The 20,371-nt window shown below is 35.1% G+C and overlaps 2 long non-coding RNA genes across 2 annotated transcripts in view; one reads left to right on the top strand and one right to left on the bottom strand.

The window, feature by feature from the left end:
- LINC02465 (long intergenic non-protein coding RNA 2465) overlaps positions 1-6,991 on the bottom strand; it is a 183,750-nt gene extending 176,759 nt beyond the window's left edge. The window contains exon 1 of the long non-coding RNA NR_151713.1: positions 6,923-6,991. This is a non-coding gene — a long non-coding RNA (long intergenic non-protein coding RNA 2465). The remainder of the gene's footprint in view (positions 1-6,922) is intronic.
- Positions 6,992-7,131: 140 nt separating this feature from the next.
- Positions 7,132-20,371, top strand: part of LINC02466 (long intergenic non-protein coding RNA 2466) — a 47,308-nt gene continuing 34,068 nt past the window's right edge. Inside the window, exon 1 of the long non-coding RNA NR_110753.1 lies at positions 7,132-7,198. This is a non-coding gene — a long non-coding RNA (long intergenic non-protein coding RNA 2466). The remainder of the gene's footprint in view (positions 7,199-20,371) is intronic.

Genomic DNA, 20,371 nt, shown 5'->3' with positions numbered 1-20,371 from the left:
AGGTATTATTATCTGTCTGCCCTTTCAGACCAAGGCTTGCAGTATGAAAAGTAAATAACGGCCTGATACTTTTCATGAAGCTTCTGCAACTCTTCCCCAAAGCAACTGATAATGACTTCTTGTCAAAAGAAATCTAGGAAACATTTTTTCAATTCCTGTGAAAGTAGTTCTACATTTATTTTAGAGATGTACTCATGCACCTGGCCAAGTTGGCAAGGGGACACACAGTGCCCTCCAGCTCTCCAAAGCAAATCAGAGGCTTAAATGACAATGGCAGCCAAAACACTCCCTTGGACTCTACAGATTTTCTAGCACTATATCACAATTGCAGTAATAAATAGATTTCGTCGGCACAAATTCGGTCTATTAAACTCAAATTATATGCAAAAAAAGTATCACTTATAACTTAACAGTAAGTTGCTTCATAATATGTATAAACTTATATGTATTTTCTGTTGTCAATTTGGTTTCTTTGGGAAAAGCCACAGTCTATGGAAACTTTTCATTCTATCTATGACATCAAATGAAATCAATTTAGATTTTCTGAATTTTCCATGTAATTGGCTAAAAATAGATTTGTGCAAACCTAGATGCAGATTCTGGCCACTCCATTGACTTGCTATGTGAATTTGGAAGCATTACTTCCTGTTTCTAAGTCTCAGCATCTTGCTTTGCAAAATGGAAGTAATGATAACACCCATTTTGTAGATTTATTAAAGGATGTAATCCACATCAACCCTTTTAGTGTCAGGCATATAGAATATACTCAGTACATGTTAGCTTTTATGGTAATTTAGTTTTATTATTGATAAATATCTCAAGTACATTTTAGCAATTATGATTTGTAAGAGAATCTTGTTCCCCTAAACAATTTTTATTTTTACTCTTGCTGTTTATTGATTTTTATCTGCTTGTTTTTTTCTTTTTGGAGACAGGGCAGGGTCACTCATATTTCAAGTAGGTAATTTCCATGTAAGTTGCTTTGGAGAACAAAAGAATTGTTAAAATAATTGATAAAAGTTACTTTGACATATAGGTTTACCCTTTAGGATTAAAATAAATGAGGAAAGCTCAAAGCTGTTAGTGTCTTTGCAGTAATATAAATAATTCATAATTGTCAGTATAAAAACAAACATTTTGAAACATCATAAAATTATATTTATAACATCAACAGTAAATTTCTTTCTTCTAATCATATTTTCCCTGTGAAACATTTGATTTTCAGTCAAGATAATGATTATTGCTCTTTTGGGTAGCTAAAATATTCTCTTCATCTAGGCTATCACCACTTCCAAGTAGTCATTAGAATGAGTAACGGTTCTCAGGAGTCTTCCCCAGCCTGACTGGCTGTCACCCATCCTAAGATAACTGACAAAGGAGTCTAGAACTACCACTTTGTGTAGGTCTCAGCCTCTGTGCCTTCCTGTGGAGATGGGCCAGAGTGGCTATAGACCGAGTTCTGCATTATGTTCCAGTTGCAGAAAGACTCTTCTCATGGCCTAGACACACATGTTCAATGTGATAGCCACTATCTGGGTGCACGATTTAAAGTTTCCATTAATTTAAATTAAATAAAATGTAACATGCATTTCTTTGGTTGCTCTTACCACATTTTATATGTTCAATAGCCACAAGTGGCTAGCAGGCATCATTTTGAACAACAAAGATATGAAAGATTTCTCTCACTGTAGAAAGTTCTATTGGACAGCACTGGCCTAGACCATGGGTGAACAAAAAGACAAGCAAAGCCTGAAGCCAAGTGTCACATGGCCGGGGTACAAGGTGGTAAACATTGATATCTCTTGTTCTTATATTCATTCATATCATTTCTTTTCCAAATTAGTCCTGATTTCTTATTTTTGTGTTTTCACCTGTAACTTTATGAACGTAAGCTAGTAAATATTTTTTCTAATTCTGGAAAAATAAAATAAATGTGTTCCATATATGGATTGATGGAGAAACTCTCCCTATTATGTATTTGTATACACTGTGGCTCCTCAAAACTCCAATGACTGAATTTTATTCCACTTGAAAATAATTTAAGATGGTATCACTATATTAAACTGCCTATTTAAAATTTCGGAGGGCTTCCCTGAAATGTCCCACTCACAGGTTCATAAGATTTCATTCACAATGCTTAATATTAATATCTTGTCCTTGTCATGTCTCTTGTTATTATAGTTATCAAGAGAATCCATGAGCTGTAAAACTCTAGAGAATAGTACATTTGAAACATGCCAAGCAACTGTGCTTCCCTAAATTCTGATGATGAAAGGTATCCTAGAGGAAGGGCTGCATTAAATGTTCAGGTGATATTCTGCTCGCCAAAGAGAGCCAGCTGTTTATATTTGGCGGCATAATGCAACAGAATTATCTGATTTGCAAATCTTGGGATATGGAGATGCAGATAAATGTTAGCAGTATAAACCAGCAAATGTAGAATGGGGCTATATTCTTACTATTTGGAGGAAGACTTTGTATTTCATATTTGTGCATATGGAGCTTTGAAAACTTATTCATAAACATGCCTTCTGAGCAATATGGCACATAAGGCATTTTTTTTTTTTAATATGGCCAAATCTGTATTAGGATATTTCTTTGCAGAATGCTATATAAACAAATATTTTGAAATTCCACTTACATAAAACATGAATAAGAAAGGTGTTTAGCCATGAAATAAAAGTGTGTCTGGTGCATTTTAAATAATAAAATGTGTGTTTCTGCTGCCAATCAAATGTCTTGTATAAAGATATTACTCTTTGTTAGATGCAAAAGTCCCTCAATTAGCAAATGACATGTTAGAATTTCTTTGATAAATTCACTCAGTTAATACATTCACGTCTTAGCCTTCACAAAAAATTCTGCACTCAAGAGGAAAAAGTGTATTCATAGGAAATTTGTTTATGACTCTGAAAATGAATAAAGACCTTTTATCATAGTAAAACAAAAAGTATTACTTTTCCTTGAAAGAAAGGAAGTTTAGCCATCACTACTAGTAGCTAAGCAAGGAAAATCTATTCTTTTCCCTTCAGTTGAAGAGAACCTATTTAAGCCCTGTTAATCAATTCATTCCTCTAACTATAGTCAGAATGATCTTTTAAAAATACAAACATGATCACATGGAATTCTTAATTAAAACATCACAATGACTTTCATTGTTCCTAGGAAAAACATCCAAACTTTTAACCTTTAACATGGCTTACAAAGTACTGCTGTATTGAGCTTTCCTGCCTCTCTACCTGCCATGGCACTGCCACAAGGCCTTACAGAGTCCCTAGTACACAGAGGCATTAAAGGAATATTGAATGAATAGGTAAACAAACATTGTAACTTTTTTTCTCAGACAAGAAGCATCCAGAGAAAAGTAACAGACGGGGTGTGAACATTTCCCTGACCACCAGTTACAAAATCACACCTTCCTCCCTGCAGTCTCCATTTTCTAATAGTGTTTTATTTTTCTTAGAGGACAAATACTTGGCATATATTCATTTATATAAATAAACTCTATGATGGCAAAGATATGGTCTGGTTTGTTCACTGCTATATCTGCTAATGACTTGAGTAGTCTTTGATATAGAGTAGGTAAACAATACATTTCTGTTGAATGAATGAATGAATGAATGAACACTCTGCTCCCAAAGCATGCACTTGGCTCATCAGTTAATTGTCCTGAAAGCATTTTCAGAGGCTGCTTTGTCTTAAGTCATTATCCTCTTCCCCACCTACAATTCTACTCCCCAAGTTACCATTTGAGGAACTCATTTATTCATTATGAAGCCCAGTTTTTCTTCCCTCACTTAAAGAGTTTCATTGGCACCCCTTGCCTTCAGCATAAGTTCAAAATACTTAGCATAGATACATGACATGGCCCTTGCTAATATCGCCAGCACTAACTCTCACCTTCACCCCCTACTTTCTGTGTTATAGTCAAGCTAATCATTTCTCAGTTCTACATGTTCACCGTCTTCTTCCTCATTCATGGGTAAGTCTTTGCATAAACTGGTTCCCCTGTCTGGGACACTCTTCCCACAAATCCCTTTCACTCTTAATTTTTCTGCAGGTTTGTGCTTTAGAAGTAGTTTCTGCTGGGAAGGTGTCTTCAGAATGCAAATACTGGGGGAGTATTTTGTGTTCCCCCGGTACTTTGTACTATCATACAGTACTTGACCTCCCATAATTTTCATTGCTTATTTCTATGTATTTCCCCCAGATGGTAAGACCTTTGATGGCAAAGGTGATCATTGTTTACACACAGTAGCTGTGCATAAAAAGAGCATTTGTTGAATCTGAAAATGAGGAAAATAGCTCAGAATTCTAAGTCAGCTGCAAATCTCAGGCAGTTACTTTTTAGATTACACTAGGTATTTTTCTGCTGGGACCTAAATCATACTGGGGGTATGATAAAGTCTTACAGGTTACCACAAAGAGAGAAAGCATGATGGTTGATTGTCTGATGTGGATATAACATGCTTAAAGGAGTTCAGCTCAGTTGAAAGACAAACTGACACTGTCCAGAGAGGAACTGTCCTCATCTCCAGCAAATTGCTCAGAAAGACCAACTCTTTTTTTATCCCAAAATTTCACACCCGACTCGCTGCAGTAAATTCATCTAAGCTCTATATAACTTTTCGTAAATCTGCAAAAGCTGCAAAAAAACTGCCATGAAAAGCAAGCAAATGTAGGAAATATTCTGGAAAATATAGCATAATGCTGTGTGACATTAATTTATTGATTAGTCTTTGATTTTCTAGACAGTACTACCTTTGGGATAAGCTCTTAGATTTCACCATAAGTCCCATTACATTGACATATGATATTGTCTCTGAGATTGTAACATTATATTGCTACATGTGTAGAATAGGTAAGACTGGAATCTTAGCATAGCAAAATCTGTTCTTAAGCAGCAAAAGACAAGGCTAAATTCTACCTCCTCTTTTAAGATTATTTGGACAATCTAATACTTCATTGAGAGGAGCTGCATATATTTTCTCTGCCACAGCAGCAACAGGAAGACAAGTTGCTTCTTCTAATATAACAAACAGCTTACTAACTTCATTGTAAATGAGGAAGTAGGTCCCTGTTGTGGAGTCTGCAAGGATCACTCCAACAAAGCTGTGAAAATTACCCTTGGAGAGGCATATGAGATTAAAGGGTGAAGCGTATGAGGTTAAAGGTCCCAGACAGGGAGGCACTGCATGGCCTGTAATCCACACCAGTCACCCAAAAGCCTGAAGTTTGGTCATGGTAGACAAGGAGAAATCAGAGCAAGGACCCATGAGCCAATGCCTTTATGGAGTGTCATGGGTCGGGCAACTTGTGGCAGGCAGGAAGGATCCTCACTGGGTAATTTCAATGTAATTGAGTCAACATGGAAAGGAGGAAGAGCTAGAATGGGGAAGTCATTAGGCTTAGGGCTTGAATATACAAGTTGGGGACGGGTACCCAAATACAGGCAAAAACTAGGTAAAAGTTTAAAAATAAGCAGGGCAGGTGCCAGCATGAAGGGAGTCATTGAGGCGACAAATAACAGCTTTAAATTACGTTATCATAAATCAAGAACTGCCTTAGAAAGTAACTGGAAATATTGATCAATTGCTAGGAGAAAGAACAGTTCAGCATCAACTGAGTCAAAGCTCAAACATACACTGTGAGATAGATGCACATATGTATTCATGTAGACACCACTGGATATAATTCTCTATGATAAGCCCAATGTGATGGCTCATGCCTGTAATCCCAGAACTTTGGGAGGCTGAGGTGAGCAGATCACCTGAGGTCAGGAGTTCGAGACCAGCCTGGCCAAGATGGTGAAACCCCACCTCTATCAAAAATTCAAAAATTAGGTGTGGTAGTGTGTGCCTGTAATCCCAGCTACTTGGGAGGCTGAGGCAGGAGAATTGCTTGAACCCAGGAGATGGAGGTTGCAGTGAGCCGAGATAATGCCATTGCACTTCAGCCTGGGCAACACAGTGGGACTCTGTCTCCAAATAATAATAATAATAATAATAATAATAATAATAATAATTTTCTAACAATTTTTTTAGGTTTTTGAAAAATCCCTTGCTTCTCTTTCTTTGCCTTAGTTTCTTCATAAAAATGAGGATGATAGTATCTGCTTCACTGATTTGTTGTGGAGATTTGATTAGACAGGACACATAAAGTACTTTTCACATTATTGGTACACAGTAGCTCATCAAAAGTTGATTGATATGCCATGTAGGTGCTTTTTGTGGTTTCCAAATGAAGCATGATAATTTAATTTTAAAATGACCCTTGATTTTTCCCTGCTTGGTTCTAGCTGTCTGGGAAGGGAGGAGGGGGAGAGACCAATAAAAAAAAAAGGAGTATGTGGCGTGAAGGTGGAGGAATTATGGGGAGCTCAAAATGACTTTTTTACATTCAAGATGTTTCACTGATCAATCAGGCTGAAAACGCAAAAGCTTGCCTTTAAGCAGGTGACAATAGAAAGGGCAACCTTCCGAGGCAGGCAGATCACCTGAGGTCAGGAGTTCGAGACCAGCCTGGCCAACATGGTGAAACTCCATCTGTACTAAAAATACAAAAAATTAGCCGGGCGTGGTGGCGGGCGCCTGTAATCCCAGCTACTTGGGAGGCTGAGGCAGGAGAATGAATGAAGCCTGAAGTTTGGTCATGGTAGACAAGGAGAATCCAGGAGGCAGAGGTTGCAGTGAGCCAAGATCATGCCATTGCACTCCAGCCTGGGCAACAAGAAGGAAAAGAAAGAAAGAATAAAGGGCAAACTTTAAAAAAAAAATTGTCAGGGATTAAGCTAACTCATTATGTAAAGAGCTCACTATTCTTGAAATGGGTCATTTTCTGAGAGTTATCAAAAGAACCAGCTCCATTTGGCTAACACAATATCTTCTAGAAGTTTTAATTAAGACTAAATTAGATTACATACCAAGATGCTGTGTTAGCTAGACTCCAAAGATGGTGCTCCAGTGAGCCATGGTTCCTGATAGTCACACCCTATGCAGTCTCCTCTCCTTGACTGTAAACTAATTGTGACTCACTTTTGACCCACAGAATGCAGTGGAGGTGATACTATGGTCATAATGACCAGGGGCTGGGTCAGAAGAACTTCAGATTGAGCCTCTTGAAACATTTGCTCTTGGAATTCTCCCTCTCAGGAAACTAACAGCCTGCTATGAAGCCCAAGCCACAAAGAGAGGCCAAGGTAGGTACTCCAGTTAAAATCCTCAGCTGACTTTTAAGCCAATAGCCAGTGTCAACCACCAGCACTGTAAATGAGCAACCTTGGAAGTCCAGCCTTATTTGAGCCTTAATTTGACAGTGTGTAGCTCCAGCCAGCATTTGACTGTAACTGTGTGAGACATCTCAAGTGAGAATTGCCCAGCTAAGCCCAATCAATTCACAGAACAAAGTAAAATAATAATAAATTACTGCTTAAAGATCCTGTTTTGGGGTAGTGTTTTGGGGTTTTGTTGTTGTTGTTGTTGCTTTTAATTCAGCAAAAGATAGTAAGAACAGATGCCTATCAAAACTCTTGGCACAGAGTATAGAATGTAAATAAAATAAATTTGATTGAATCAGACATTTATTAGAGAGTTTAATGTTTAATCTGCTATTCAACTGATGTCAAAACAAACTTAGTAGAGAGAAGTAATATGGTATTTCAACAATCTCAAGATGAACATATTTTAATTTCCCTAAAATTAAAATTCATCCTATACTTAGACTGTATAATTGACACTATTTAGTTTTCTTTTTTAGAAATACTTAAGGATCCATATTATAATTGGTGGCATCTTAGATCATGAAATATAACATATTTATTAGAGGGATAGTCTAGAAGACTCCTCCTTTGAACAACTTCCTCAGAATTTCCTGGAGAATTAGTTTAAATAGCTTCCTGGTCCTCACTAAATCAAAATATAGTACCAAAATATAGTATCAAAATATAGTGTATTTGGAGCTAGACAAATTTCTGGGTAATACTTATGTTTAATGATGTCTGAGAAACATTGACTCAGGTAGCTAAATCTCTGTACTAAGTTAAAAAATTAGGTGACCAGGCCTATACTACTTTAACTCTTCATTGATATATGTACATTAAGTTGTAATTGGCATTATGCTTTTGCATTTGTAAAGACTTGCGTTGAGTAATTCAGTAAAGAGATTTAAAAATACTCTTACTTTAAAACTCCATAAATTGCAATCTCTATTATATTGTCAGTGGAAAACTCATTTTAAAGATTACATGAATCTCTTCCTTGTTACATATCTTTTGATCTGTTATTGTTACTTCAGTGATTTAATCGCCTATATTTCATCTATTCTAAGTCATCTCACATATGTATGTTACATTAAATCCCAACATTGCCAACAATTTAAAAATATTTAGATATTATAATGAAGAATGGCATCTGTTAATTATATATCCCTGGATAAAACATAAAAATAATTTTCAAATTGAGATGTACAGTACTCTAAAAGCTGGTTTAAATCTGTACAGAACATGCTTTCTAAATATTTAAATTTTTCTTTCAATGTTTGAATTGCATGGGGAAGTGTACTTGTTTTGCAAACATGAAACAGATTACCTTCAGACTTACAAAAAGTGCCTATTGCTTAGCTCTTAAACTCTTTTTCTAGAAATTCAGAAATTGTTGAGTGAATTAAATTTGACATTTAACACCCTTTAGTCATGTTGCTATTTATTTGTGGCTTCTTTCTGTGCACTGAAGTACAGCTTGGAGGCAAATACACTATGAAGATGCTGTAGTCTTTGGCAGCCTTGGTAGTGAAACTTTCCATTTGATGAATAATTAAAGCTATTGCAATAGCTTTATAGTATTGCAGTCATCTCCATCCATCTCATGAAAAACCTTTTTTCCATGATTTTATTTTTGGAATCTTTTGTTTAAATTCTAACTTTGAGAAAATAGGGACAAAAAGACACGTTAATAAAATTGTAGAGAGTGAATTCTGCTTCTTCTGGTGGCAGAAAAGAAGGGCAGATTGTGTAACAATCATCTTTACCTTGAGGCACTATACACAGAACTGCGTTTTGTATAGCAATTCAGATTTAAAAGTTATGCAACAAATGTTTATAGAATGAATTCTGCAATAGAATCAAATTCCATGTGGCTATGGAAATCCTATGTAGGTATGGTTCTCTCTACAGTAGAGAGAATTAACTTGTGGCAATAATATTTTGAAAGTTGAAAAATATGTAATTTATTTTTAATTAGAACCAATTTCAATAGGAAACAAAGGGGGTAAGTTCACATTAGATATATCCAGGGATTAAAGTTCATCTGGGATTACACACTCAAATATACATGGAATGTTTGTGATTTTTTAAATAAGAATTAACATAATATTTATCCTAAATATGTCTTTTTCTGATTGTGAATTTGAATAATAGTGTTCCTTCCAAAAGTGTTTGTATTTAAGCAGTGTATTAGAGTTGAAATTTTCCCATTCAACTGCATTTGGGCAAAATAAACTTTTTCTACATTATTTTACATTACAAGAAATATAGTAGCCATTAAACTAATGCCATTCCAAATCAAAAGAATTCATTTTGATGATAACCAACATTAAATACCACTTGAACTATCATAATCAAAAAAGTATCCACTGGGAATACTGAGCTAGGGAAATGAAAATGTTTCCAAAGTGGGATTTATGATTAGCAATGTCTAATAAAAGAACATCTCAATCTTTTTAATTATATCAGTGTAATATAAGGAACACTAAATAATGCCTTCTATCATAAAGCTATTGATGTTCATCAGTTATTTATTTATTTTGCATTCTGTAGTATTACTTTTCTCTCTTTCTTCTAGTCTAAGTAGTAGTGGAGTACTGGTACTTAAAAGAGTAGTGGTTGTACTAGTTATCCTAGTTGTACTCATTGTACTAGTTATAAGAATAATCATAGGAAGAACTTTCATTTGCTGAGCATTTACTATATTCCTAGCACTGGTGTAAATGCATTAGCCCATCTAAGAGATTAAGAAAATTACTTAAGATTCTGCAGCTATTAAGTGAGACAGTGGGGATATGAACTCCCAGTATGTCCTGTGCCACACTGTGAGCCTTTACCAAAATTTTTGTAAGTATCATGATTTTGTCTATAACCTTTGTTTTAAAAAGTGTCACCAAAGCAAACATGAGTTTTATTAAAATGTAATAGGATATTATTATTTACATAGAACAATAAATTGTATGATATGAGTATTCATTTTGTCAATAACTTAATAGTGATCCAGAGATGCAAATGAAGTAGTCTCCACTTTTTACTCATTATTTTAAATTTCTAGTTTTCAGGCCAGGTGCGGTGGCTCACACCTGTAATCCCAGCACTTTGGGAGGCTGAGGCAGGCAGATCATGAGGTCAGGAGTTCGAGACCAGCCTGACCAACATGGTGAAACCCTGTCTCTACTAAAAAAAAATACAAAAATTAGCCGGGCCTGATGGTGCATGCCTGTAATCCCAGCTACTCAGGAGGCTGAGGCAGGAGAATCGCTTGAACCTGGGAGGCGGAGGTTGCAGTGAGCCGAGATTGCGCCATTGCACTCCAGCCTGGGTGACAGAGCAAGATTCCATCTCAGAAAAATAATAATAATAATAATAATAATTCTAGTTTTCAGTATTGTCAGCATGAATCAGGTCACTGTAGAAATTAATACATTCTTAGAATGGAAACTGATAAGCAGAGATTATCAAGCTAGAAAAAGAGTAAGAAATTATGTGATTCACAGTCAAGTGAATCCGGAATGCAAAAGTCAGACTCAAGCTTCCGAGAATGAGTCTAGGTTATCTAGAAAAAGCATCTGAAATATTAGTAATCAAATTTTTAGGAAGTCAGATTCTCAGCCAATTAACTATATAAACTCTACATGATTACTTTGGTTAATTGAACAGATATCTAATAGATGAGTGTGGTCCACAAATATGATTACCTGCCAAAGATCTAGCAAACATCTGATCAAGAATAGTAGAAGCCAAGCAAAACCAAAACAGGGTCAGGTAAAGCAGGGAACCAAGATTATGACTTTTTGCAAACGCTTGACTGACTCACAAGGTAATATATTTTTCAACTCAAAAAATATGATTCAGTAAGGTGTGTCCAAACAAGCTAAATTATTAAAGAGAACTGCAAAGTCTGCATATGAAAAGATGCACATGAACCTTGAAAATGCTTTTGTTGCATTATTTAGAATAGTTATAAATGTCAGGTTACTGCTAGCCATACTTCTCTTAAGAGTGGCATTTGCAAAATAATATTTGCCAAAGTTCATGTGACTATTTTTGTGAAAACCATAGAAAAACTTCCTTTTACAAAAAGTTATGTGTACCCTTAACAAAGATACTAGAACAGATGCTGGTGTAACTATTATTTTTGTCATTCTTACCTAATAGACTTGAATTAGTATATCCCTAGGATGTCTTCAATACATATTTCAGATTTTTATGAGCAATGTGATTGCCTCATAAGGAAATTACTTTAATTAAAATTGTTTGACAAACTATCAAAAGTCACTGCAAGTGTTCATGGATTATCCATTAAACATTCAAAAAGGTCATTTGTTCAAAGTATTTTAATTTTGTTTTCATATTGAAAAATGCTTTAGGCATTTATATAATTATACATTATATTTTAATTTATGTATATATTTAATGTAAATATAATAATACATTATATTTTCCTTATTCTACTATTCATGGACAAAATAATTTGTAGTGACTCAGATTGTTCCTGCTTTTATTAGTTTGTAGTTTATATTGGAATTCAGAAATTTCATAAAATTTTTTCTAGAGAAGCATACACTTAACAACATTCTGGCTTTGAAAAGTAATGTTGAGAAATAAAATTCTGCATAAAATTAATTTATATTGTTGGGAGGAATTGGAAAAGTGAAACAATATTTAATACATAAATGAGTGGGTTCAAATAGGCAGAAAATAGTGGTGCCAAATTAAACAATGTTCATTAGTAAAATACATGCTGAAATAAACACAACATTACACAAATTATTTTTAAAAACTAGCATTTTAGCACTCATGAAATGGAGTACTTCTAAAGAAGTAACATTATACAGCATATTAATCTTATAAATTTTGTTTTTTAATCAAACTTTTAAATTTTGTGAAAATTATAAATCCCATGCAGTTGTAAGAAATAATACAGAGATCCCATTTACCATTTATCCATTTGTACTAAATGGCAACATCTTGTGAGATTGTAGTATAATATTATAACCAAGATATCGACATTGAAACAGTCAAAATACAGAACATTTCCATTACACAAAGATCTCTCATGTTGCCCTTTTATAGCCACACACATTTCTCTCTCACCAGGCACCAGCCCCACCTCACCCCACCTCCTTAACTCTTGACAGACACTGATCTATTCTTCGTTTCTCTAATTTGACATTGTAAGACGTAGTTACTCTGTACATAACGTTTTGAGATTGGTTTTTTTCTTTCATCAAAATTATCTGAAGATTTACTGAAGCTGTAGTATACATCAATAGTTTGTTCCTGTTTCTTGCTGAGGAATATTCCAGGCATGGATGTATTGTGGTCTGATTATTCACTCATTAGAGGACATCCAGGTTGTTTCCAGCCATTGGCTACTATGAATAAAGCTAGTATAAATGTTTGTTCGGGGTTTTTTTGTGTGTGTGTGAGACAGTAAGTTTTTATTTATCTGAGATAAATGTCCAGAAGTGCAATTGCTGAGTTATATGGAAGTTGCACGATTCATTTTTAAGGAAACTACCTAGCCATTTTCCAGAGTAGCTGCTCAATTTTTATATTCCCACCAGCAATGTTGAATGATTCCGTTTCTCCACGTCCTCATCAGTATTTGGTGTTGTCATTATTTTTTCTTTCAGCCATTCAGATAGGTGTGTAGTGGTATCTCGTTGTAGCTTTAAATTGCATCCCTAATGGCTAAGGATGTTGAAGATCTTCTATCATGTTAGCTTGCCATCTGCATGTCTTCTTCGCTGAAATGTTTATACCTCTGCCAATTTTCTAATTGGATTGTTTAATTTTTAACTGTTGAGTTTGAGAGTTCCTTATATATTCTAGATACTAGTCTGTCTTAATTCATTCAGGCTCCTGTAATAAAATACCATAAGCTGAGTAGCTTATAAACAACAGAAATTTATTTCTCACAGTTCTTGGGGCTAGGAGGTCAAAGACCAAGGTGCCAGCAGATTCAGTGTCTGGTAAGGGCCCCTTTGCCTGGTTCATAGATGTTGCCTCCTCACGATGTCCTCACATGTTAAAAGAGTTTCATGTGAGGACACAGTGTGGTGTCTTCTATAAGGACAGTAACTCCGTCTACAAGGACTCTGCCTTCATGATCTAATCATCTCCCAAAGGTTCCACCTCCAAATACCATAAACTTGAGTGGTGGGGGATGATTTAAACATATAAATTTTGGGGTGAGCCAAACATTCAGACCATAGCAGTTGGATTTTCATTCAGTTTAATGTGTTTTTGAATTTTCCTTGAGATGTCATCTTTGAACCACAGACTATTTAGAAATGTGTTGTTTAGTTTCCAAGTGTATGGAGATTTTCCTATTATCTACCTGTTAGATTTTTTTTTTTAATACAGAGTCTCGCTCTGTCACCAGGCTGGAGTGCAGTGACATGATCTTGGCTTACTGCAACCTCCGTCTCCCAGGTTCAAGTGATTCTCCTGCCTCAGTCTCCTGAGTAGCTGGGACTACAGGCGTGTGCCACCATACCCAGCTAATTTTTGTATTTTTAGTAGAGACAGGGTTTCACTATTTTGGCCAGGATGGTCTTGATCTCTTGACTTTGTGATCCGCCCGCCTTGGCCTCTCAAAGTGCTGGGATTACAGGTTTGAGCCACCGTGCCTGGCCTACCTATTAGATTTCTAATTTGATTTAATTGTGGTCAGAAAGGACCCTCTGCATGATTTCAATAATATTAAATTTGTTGAAGTTTGTTTTATGGCTCCCAGAGAAGTCTATTTTGGAATATGTTCATTGAAACTTAAAAAAGAATGTGTATTCTGCTGTTGTCTGGTGTTTTATAAATGTTATTCAGACCTTGTTGGTGGATGATTGCAATGGTTTGGATTTGTGTCCCCACCCAAATCTCATGTTCAATTGTAATCCCCAATGTTGGAGGTGGGGCCTGGTGGGAGGTGATTGAATCATGTGAGAGGTTTCTTGTGAATGGTTTAGCACCATCCCCTCTGTGCTGTTTGTGTGATAGTGAGTGAGTGAGTTATGGAGAGGTCTAGTTGTTTAAAAGTGTGTAGCACCTCTCCTCTCTTGCTCTTCCTCCTGCTCTGGCCATGTAAACACCTCTTTGCCTTCCTCCATGATTGTATGTTCCCTGAGGCCTCCCCAGAAGCTGATGACACCATGCTTCCTATACAGTCTGCAGAACCCTGAGATAATTAAGCCTCTTTTCTTTATAAATTACTCAGTCTCATATATTTCTTTGTAGCAAGTGAGAACAGACTAATACAATGATGTTGTTTAGTTTTTTTAACATACATGCTGATTTTCTGTTTAGTTGTTCTGTTAGTTGTTGACAGTGCCCAGAAAGATATCAGGAGGAAATAGAAACTGTCCAGAGTTAGAACTCATTCAAAGGTCATTTTGATGTTAGACAGAACCATTCTAAGTGTCATATATATTTTGACCATTCATATATTCCATAGCATAAAATTAAAGATATACTGAATTATCTGGTAAGCTTAATGTATCTTGTCAGGCTTTACCCACAGAAATAGAACCAGCAGGAGATATGTATGAAGAGATTTATTATAAGCTATTGGATTATTGTGAGACCTAGTTAGGCAAGTTCAAATACTCAGGGCATGCCATCAGGAAGGGAACACTGAATCTCTCAGCACCAGGTGAAGCTGCTATCCACAGGTAGAATGTCTTAATCTTTAGGGAAATCTCATCTCTACTCTTAAAGCTTTTCAACTGGTTGGATCAGGTTAACCTACATTATCTAGCATCACCACCCTTAGAGTTAACTAATTATGGACTTTAATCCATCTATAAAACACCATCACAGTAACACCTAGATTAGTGTGTGATTGTATAACTGGGGGTGGTAGCCTAGCCTAGTTGACATGTTGAACTGACCATCACACCTGCTTTCATTGATCAAACTGTCTCACCTTCAGATGTCTCCTCAAAGATGTCTCCATTCTATGAGGCTTTCTCCAACACTTTAATTAGAATTGCATTACCTCCCACTCAAAACTCCTTATTCTCCTTTCTTGTTATTTTTTCTTTGCATGAATTGCTGTCTCACAATTTAAGCAATATCTTACTTGCTTAATTTGTTTTTGTTTCCATCACTAAAATATAGGCACCATGAGGGTAGTTGTTTTTGTACAGCCCTTTTTTACATTCTTGATACCTAGAATGGAGGTTGGCATACAGTAGACACTCATTAAATATTTGTTTAATGGATAAACAAAATTATCCAGATAGTTGCCTAATTTCCACAATTATTTATGTTATATAAATGTACATAGAAGGTGGCCGTGGGTAAAATAGCATGAAGCTCTATATTAAGTCATTAAATAACACAGCTTAGTTTGCAAATCCAATAGTCCCCTGAAAAAGATTGTTATTTTTCAGCATTTTAATTGAAAATAGAAATATCTCTTTATCATTAAATTGTAGTATTATTTCTGTGCAGCCAGAAAATAGGTGTGTATCACAAGAAAATAAACACTAAAGCTATCCATGATTTTGAGGAGATAATTTTTTACTTCAAAATGCATTGTTTCATTTACATTATAGATATGAGAAATAACATTCCAAGAACATAGTAACACTAACATATATTAAACTCCACAAAATACTCATCTACATACCAAATTTTAAACTATATACATACTCTTTGACAAATCAATTCCACTTTTAGAATTCCATTCTATCTATATGCTTTAAAAAGTTTGCAAAGACAGTTGTACATGGATGTCCAACACAAAATGAATTAGAATGGCAAAAAGAATAACCTAAATGTTTATCAAGAAAGGACTAGTTAAATAAAATATACACTTATACTATGAATTACTATGCAACAGGTAAAAAGAGAGATAAAAAATTATGAGTAAATAGTTCTGAAGTACATTAAGTGAAAAATTAAGAATACAATAAAGAATATGTATTATGAGCCCTTGTATATAAAAAGAATAAATGTGTTTATTTAAATATGCTTGACTATCACTAAAGAATTGTCAGAAAAAATTTTAAGAACGTAATAGTGTTTATCTCTAATTTATGATGCCAAGTAAAAGCACATTTTTACTTTTCTTTTTTTAACATTTAGGTATTAATTGTTTTCAAAGTGCATTTGTCACTTTATGATTAAAAACTAGGTTACAGTAAATAAATAATATATGCATAAGCTTTGACACAGCAATTTTGTATCTAGTAATTTATCCTAAAGAAATGATTAAGGATGTGCATAAAGATTTATGTATGTAATGTTCATTGCAGCATTGTTTATTACAACAAAAATGGAAAATAGCCCATCCTGCAATATGAGAATGTGGTTAAATAAATTACAATGCATCTATTTTATGAATGCTATGTACTCATTAAAATGATGCTGTGAAAGTTTTATCCTAAATGGTGTATCATCTTTTATTAACAACTTTTAAAAGAGGAAGGAGAGAGTTACAAAACAGCATATATCATATATGCATATTCTCAAGATGTCTATATGTCAAAGTCTTAATTGATTGTTTAGTTGGTTTCTGGATGGTTTTTCTGTTCTTTGTGTATTCATGTACTTTCAAAATTTTTATAATAACTTGAATTACTTTTAGAGACAGAAAACATATTATAAAAAGCAATTAGCATTATATTTACAAGCATGAGAATTTTTCCTGCATAAGAAAATAATAAGTGTGAAGTTTAGAAATTGTGATGCCCTTGTCTCAGATATTTATTACTTACACCAAAAGAGTGATTTGCAGTCCTGAAAGGAGAAAGAATAAACCTGATCAAACACTTGATGTGATAAAGTTAGATAAAATCAGGATCACTGGGAAACACTCAAGAGCCAAGTCTTAATGAAGGCACATACCTATTTTCTAAAGGCACAACAATAATTTAGAATAAAATAATTAATTCTACTTTTATTATTGTTATATCACCTCACTTTGTTTCAAAATAAAAGTAATCATGAAGATTACCATTTGCCAATATCCACTATATGATTTTTATGTGAGTCTTACAAGATAAGTCTACATAATTAGACTTAATACCCACTTTTTGGGGGATTTGTGGCTACTAAATTAAAATGTCAAAGAAGCTTAAAAGTTTGTTAAAATATTTGCAACTAGTAAACAATACAGCTAGAATATAACTAGATTTCCTTGAACCTAAACTCAATACTTTCTATTATCTTCCCAGCCTGCCAAAATATTTTTCTGTTTATGTTCAACAAATCTGATGTCCAGAAACTCTCCAGATAGTGGGACACTTGAAGGAATGAAATCAGATAATGTCTATTTGTCAAAGGAAAGTTGGTTATGAGCCAAAAACAATCATAGAAGAAAGCAGAATTACAGGAAAGAATTTACTGCAGTAGTAAGAGGAGTTGACACAAAACTTCTAGTTTTTTTTATTTTTTTTATTTTTCATTGAGACAGGGTCTCACTCTGTTGCCCAGGCTGGAGTGGAGTGGCATGAGCAGAGAGCACTATAGGCTCCACTTCCTGGGCTCAGGCAATCCTCCTGCCTCAGTCTCTTGAGTAGCTGGGACTACAGGCAGGTGCCATCACTCTTGGTTAATTTTTTAATTTTTTTTCTTTATTTTTAGAAAAAGGGTCTTGCTATGTTGCCCAGGCTGGTCTTGAACTCCTGGGCTCAAGTGTTCCTCCTGCCTTAGCCTCCCAAAGTGCTGGAATTAAAGGCATAAGCCACCACATTTGTCCAAAATGTCCAGTATTTAAAAAGTTACCAAATAATAATTTTTGCTTCTTTTAGGGTCACCTTTTGTCTCAGGCTGAAAATTTTGAGAATGGTATCAAGGGCTTGTTTTGGGCAAATCAATTATTTACCAGTTTCAGCCTTTTCTTACAGAAGGGCAATAGTGAAGAGAATAGAAAAGGTTTGGTGGGGACCCCTGTGTCATGGCTTACAGGAATTTGATATACACCTGGAAGAATCTGATGACAGCATGAATGGCACCTTGACAAATGTAGCAGTAGAATTGACTAAGGCTACAGAAGTAGAATTAGCACTGGTGCTGGATCAACAGTACTGATGAGGTGTTTAGACTAGTGAAGATAGCAGGGAAAGCCCCAGACAGGCTCAGAGGTTGCATGAATGGTTGCCTATAACAGGAGGCAAGAGCCATTCAACTTGTCATTACAAGCAGAGCAAAATGGGAGAGGGATGCAGCCTACAAGATGGGTCTATTCACTGACTAAATCTCAAAGTAAATCCCCTCACCTCAGAAAGGAGTTAAAGCCTTCGAACTGTCATAAAACTCTCCAAAGACCCTGATACTAGCTATGCAGTATATGGAAAAGTGAAGTAATATATATTTCTCATAAGAATAGAAAATATAGATTTTTATTAGTTTTTAAATATATAAATGAATTACAGCTATGAGCATTTTATCATAATCAAGTAATCTCTACTCCATTTGTATTTGGCAAACCTATCTTCAAGAATATGTTTAGTGATGATGAAATGTCATGACTTTGTAATACTTTATATCTTCTTAGAATCTTCTGTGGATTTTCTGTTCTCCCTAGTTATTGTAAATATTTAAAATTGTTGGTTAAAAATAAAACGTTAAACATCTCTTCTCTTTTACCAGTGCAATTATCCAGTTTCTAAACTTAACCAAGAGGTTCCTTTCATGTCTTTCTCTTTGCTCTTTCTGTTCTTTCCCACCATGATCTCTTTCTCTTCTGAGTCAGATTTCCAGGGAAAGATAAAAAGGAATCCTCAGTGTCTTAGAGTTTAGATGTGGAAGAAACAATGCATTAACAATAGTGACTCTGAGCTATGTAATCCTATGTAGAAGGGAGAGAGTAAAAAGTAATCACCTTATGTTTAAATACTGGTAACTCATCAGCAAGCAATACTGAGCAGTTACATTTCAAAAGCAGTAGTATAATAATGGAGATACCCATTTTGGAATAGTGGGTACAGATACGATTTAAAACAGTGAGACTGAATGAAATAATAATAATAATAAAACAAGTATAGATAGGGGAGAAAAGTCCAGGGACAAAGCTCTGGAAACCCAGCAAAGAAGACTGAGAATGAACAGCTAGTAAGATGAGAGAACTAAGAGAAAGAAAGGTTAAGCATTTCAAGGAGAGAGTCATTTACTAAGTCAATTGCTATTGACGGATAAAATAAAACAAAAAGTGAGAATTGGTCATTAGATTTAGCAACACAGACACTAGTAACCTTGATTAAGTACTTTCAGTAGAGTTATGTGGGAAAAAATGCAGATCGGAGGTTCAAGAGAGATAAAGGAAGAAGCAAGATTGGAAAACTCTTTTGAAGAGCTTTGCAGTTAATTGTGGGAGTAAAAGAGTGCATTTGCTGGAGATAAAACTGCAATCAAGCACAGGTTCTTTTCAAATGGGAAAAGTACCATATGTTTGTATGCTAATAGGAAGGATACAACAGAGAGGAAAATCTGAGGATAAGTAGGAGAGGAAAGAATTGTACTTGAGTAGACAAGAGACCAGTATCTAGTGCACAAGAGTACGTGGTCTTAGCAAGAGCACAAGCATCTCATCTGTAGGAGCAAAAGAGATGAATGAACTAATTAGTTTGCTTGTGGTGATCATTTCACAATGTATGCATATATCAAATTATCACATTCTACACCTTAAATATGTACAACCTGTGTTTGTCAATTATATCTCAATAAAGCTCAGGGGAAAGAAAGGTAGAAAATATGGGCATAGATATGATAGATGGGTAGCTAGCTTGATGGAAGTTCTTTTCTGACAGTTTTATGTTCCCAGTGAATTCCAAGGTAAGATCTGAGAGTATGGGGGATGGAGAAAGTATTAGAAAAATTGAAGTGAAAGAAGATAAGAAATAGTTATTCAAGAGAGTAGGAATGGAAAATGACTTGGCAATACAGTATGATTACTGCAAAGCTTTAAGGGCCTCTTAAAGATAAATTATTATGAATTTAAATTGAGACATATGTGTATGTCAGTTGTGCAAGGGCAAGCAGAAAGAAAGCAAAGAGCTGGATCTAACCAGGCAGCAATTTAGCCAAGAGAGCAAAACCAAGTAAGAGAGGGACAAAGGAGTTGATGGTATATGCAAGGAAATAATAATGATTGACCATGGTATT

Source organism: Homo sapiens, chromosome 4 (assembly GCF_000001405.40).
Source record: "Homo sapiens chromosome 4, GRCh38.p14 Primary Assembly".
NCBI lineage: Eukaryota > Metazoa > Chordata > Mammalia > Primates > Hominidae > Homo > Homo sapiens.
This window is presented reverse-complemented; position numbering and strand designations above follow the sequence as displayed.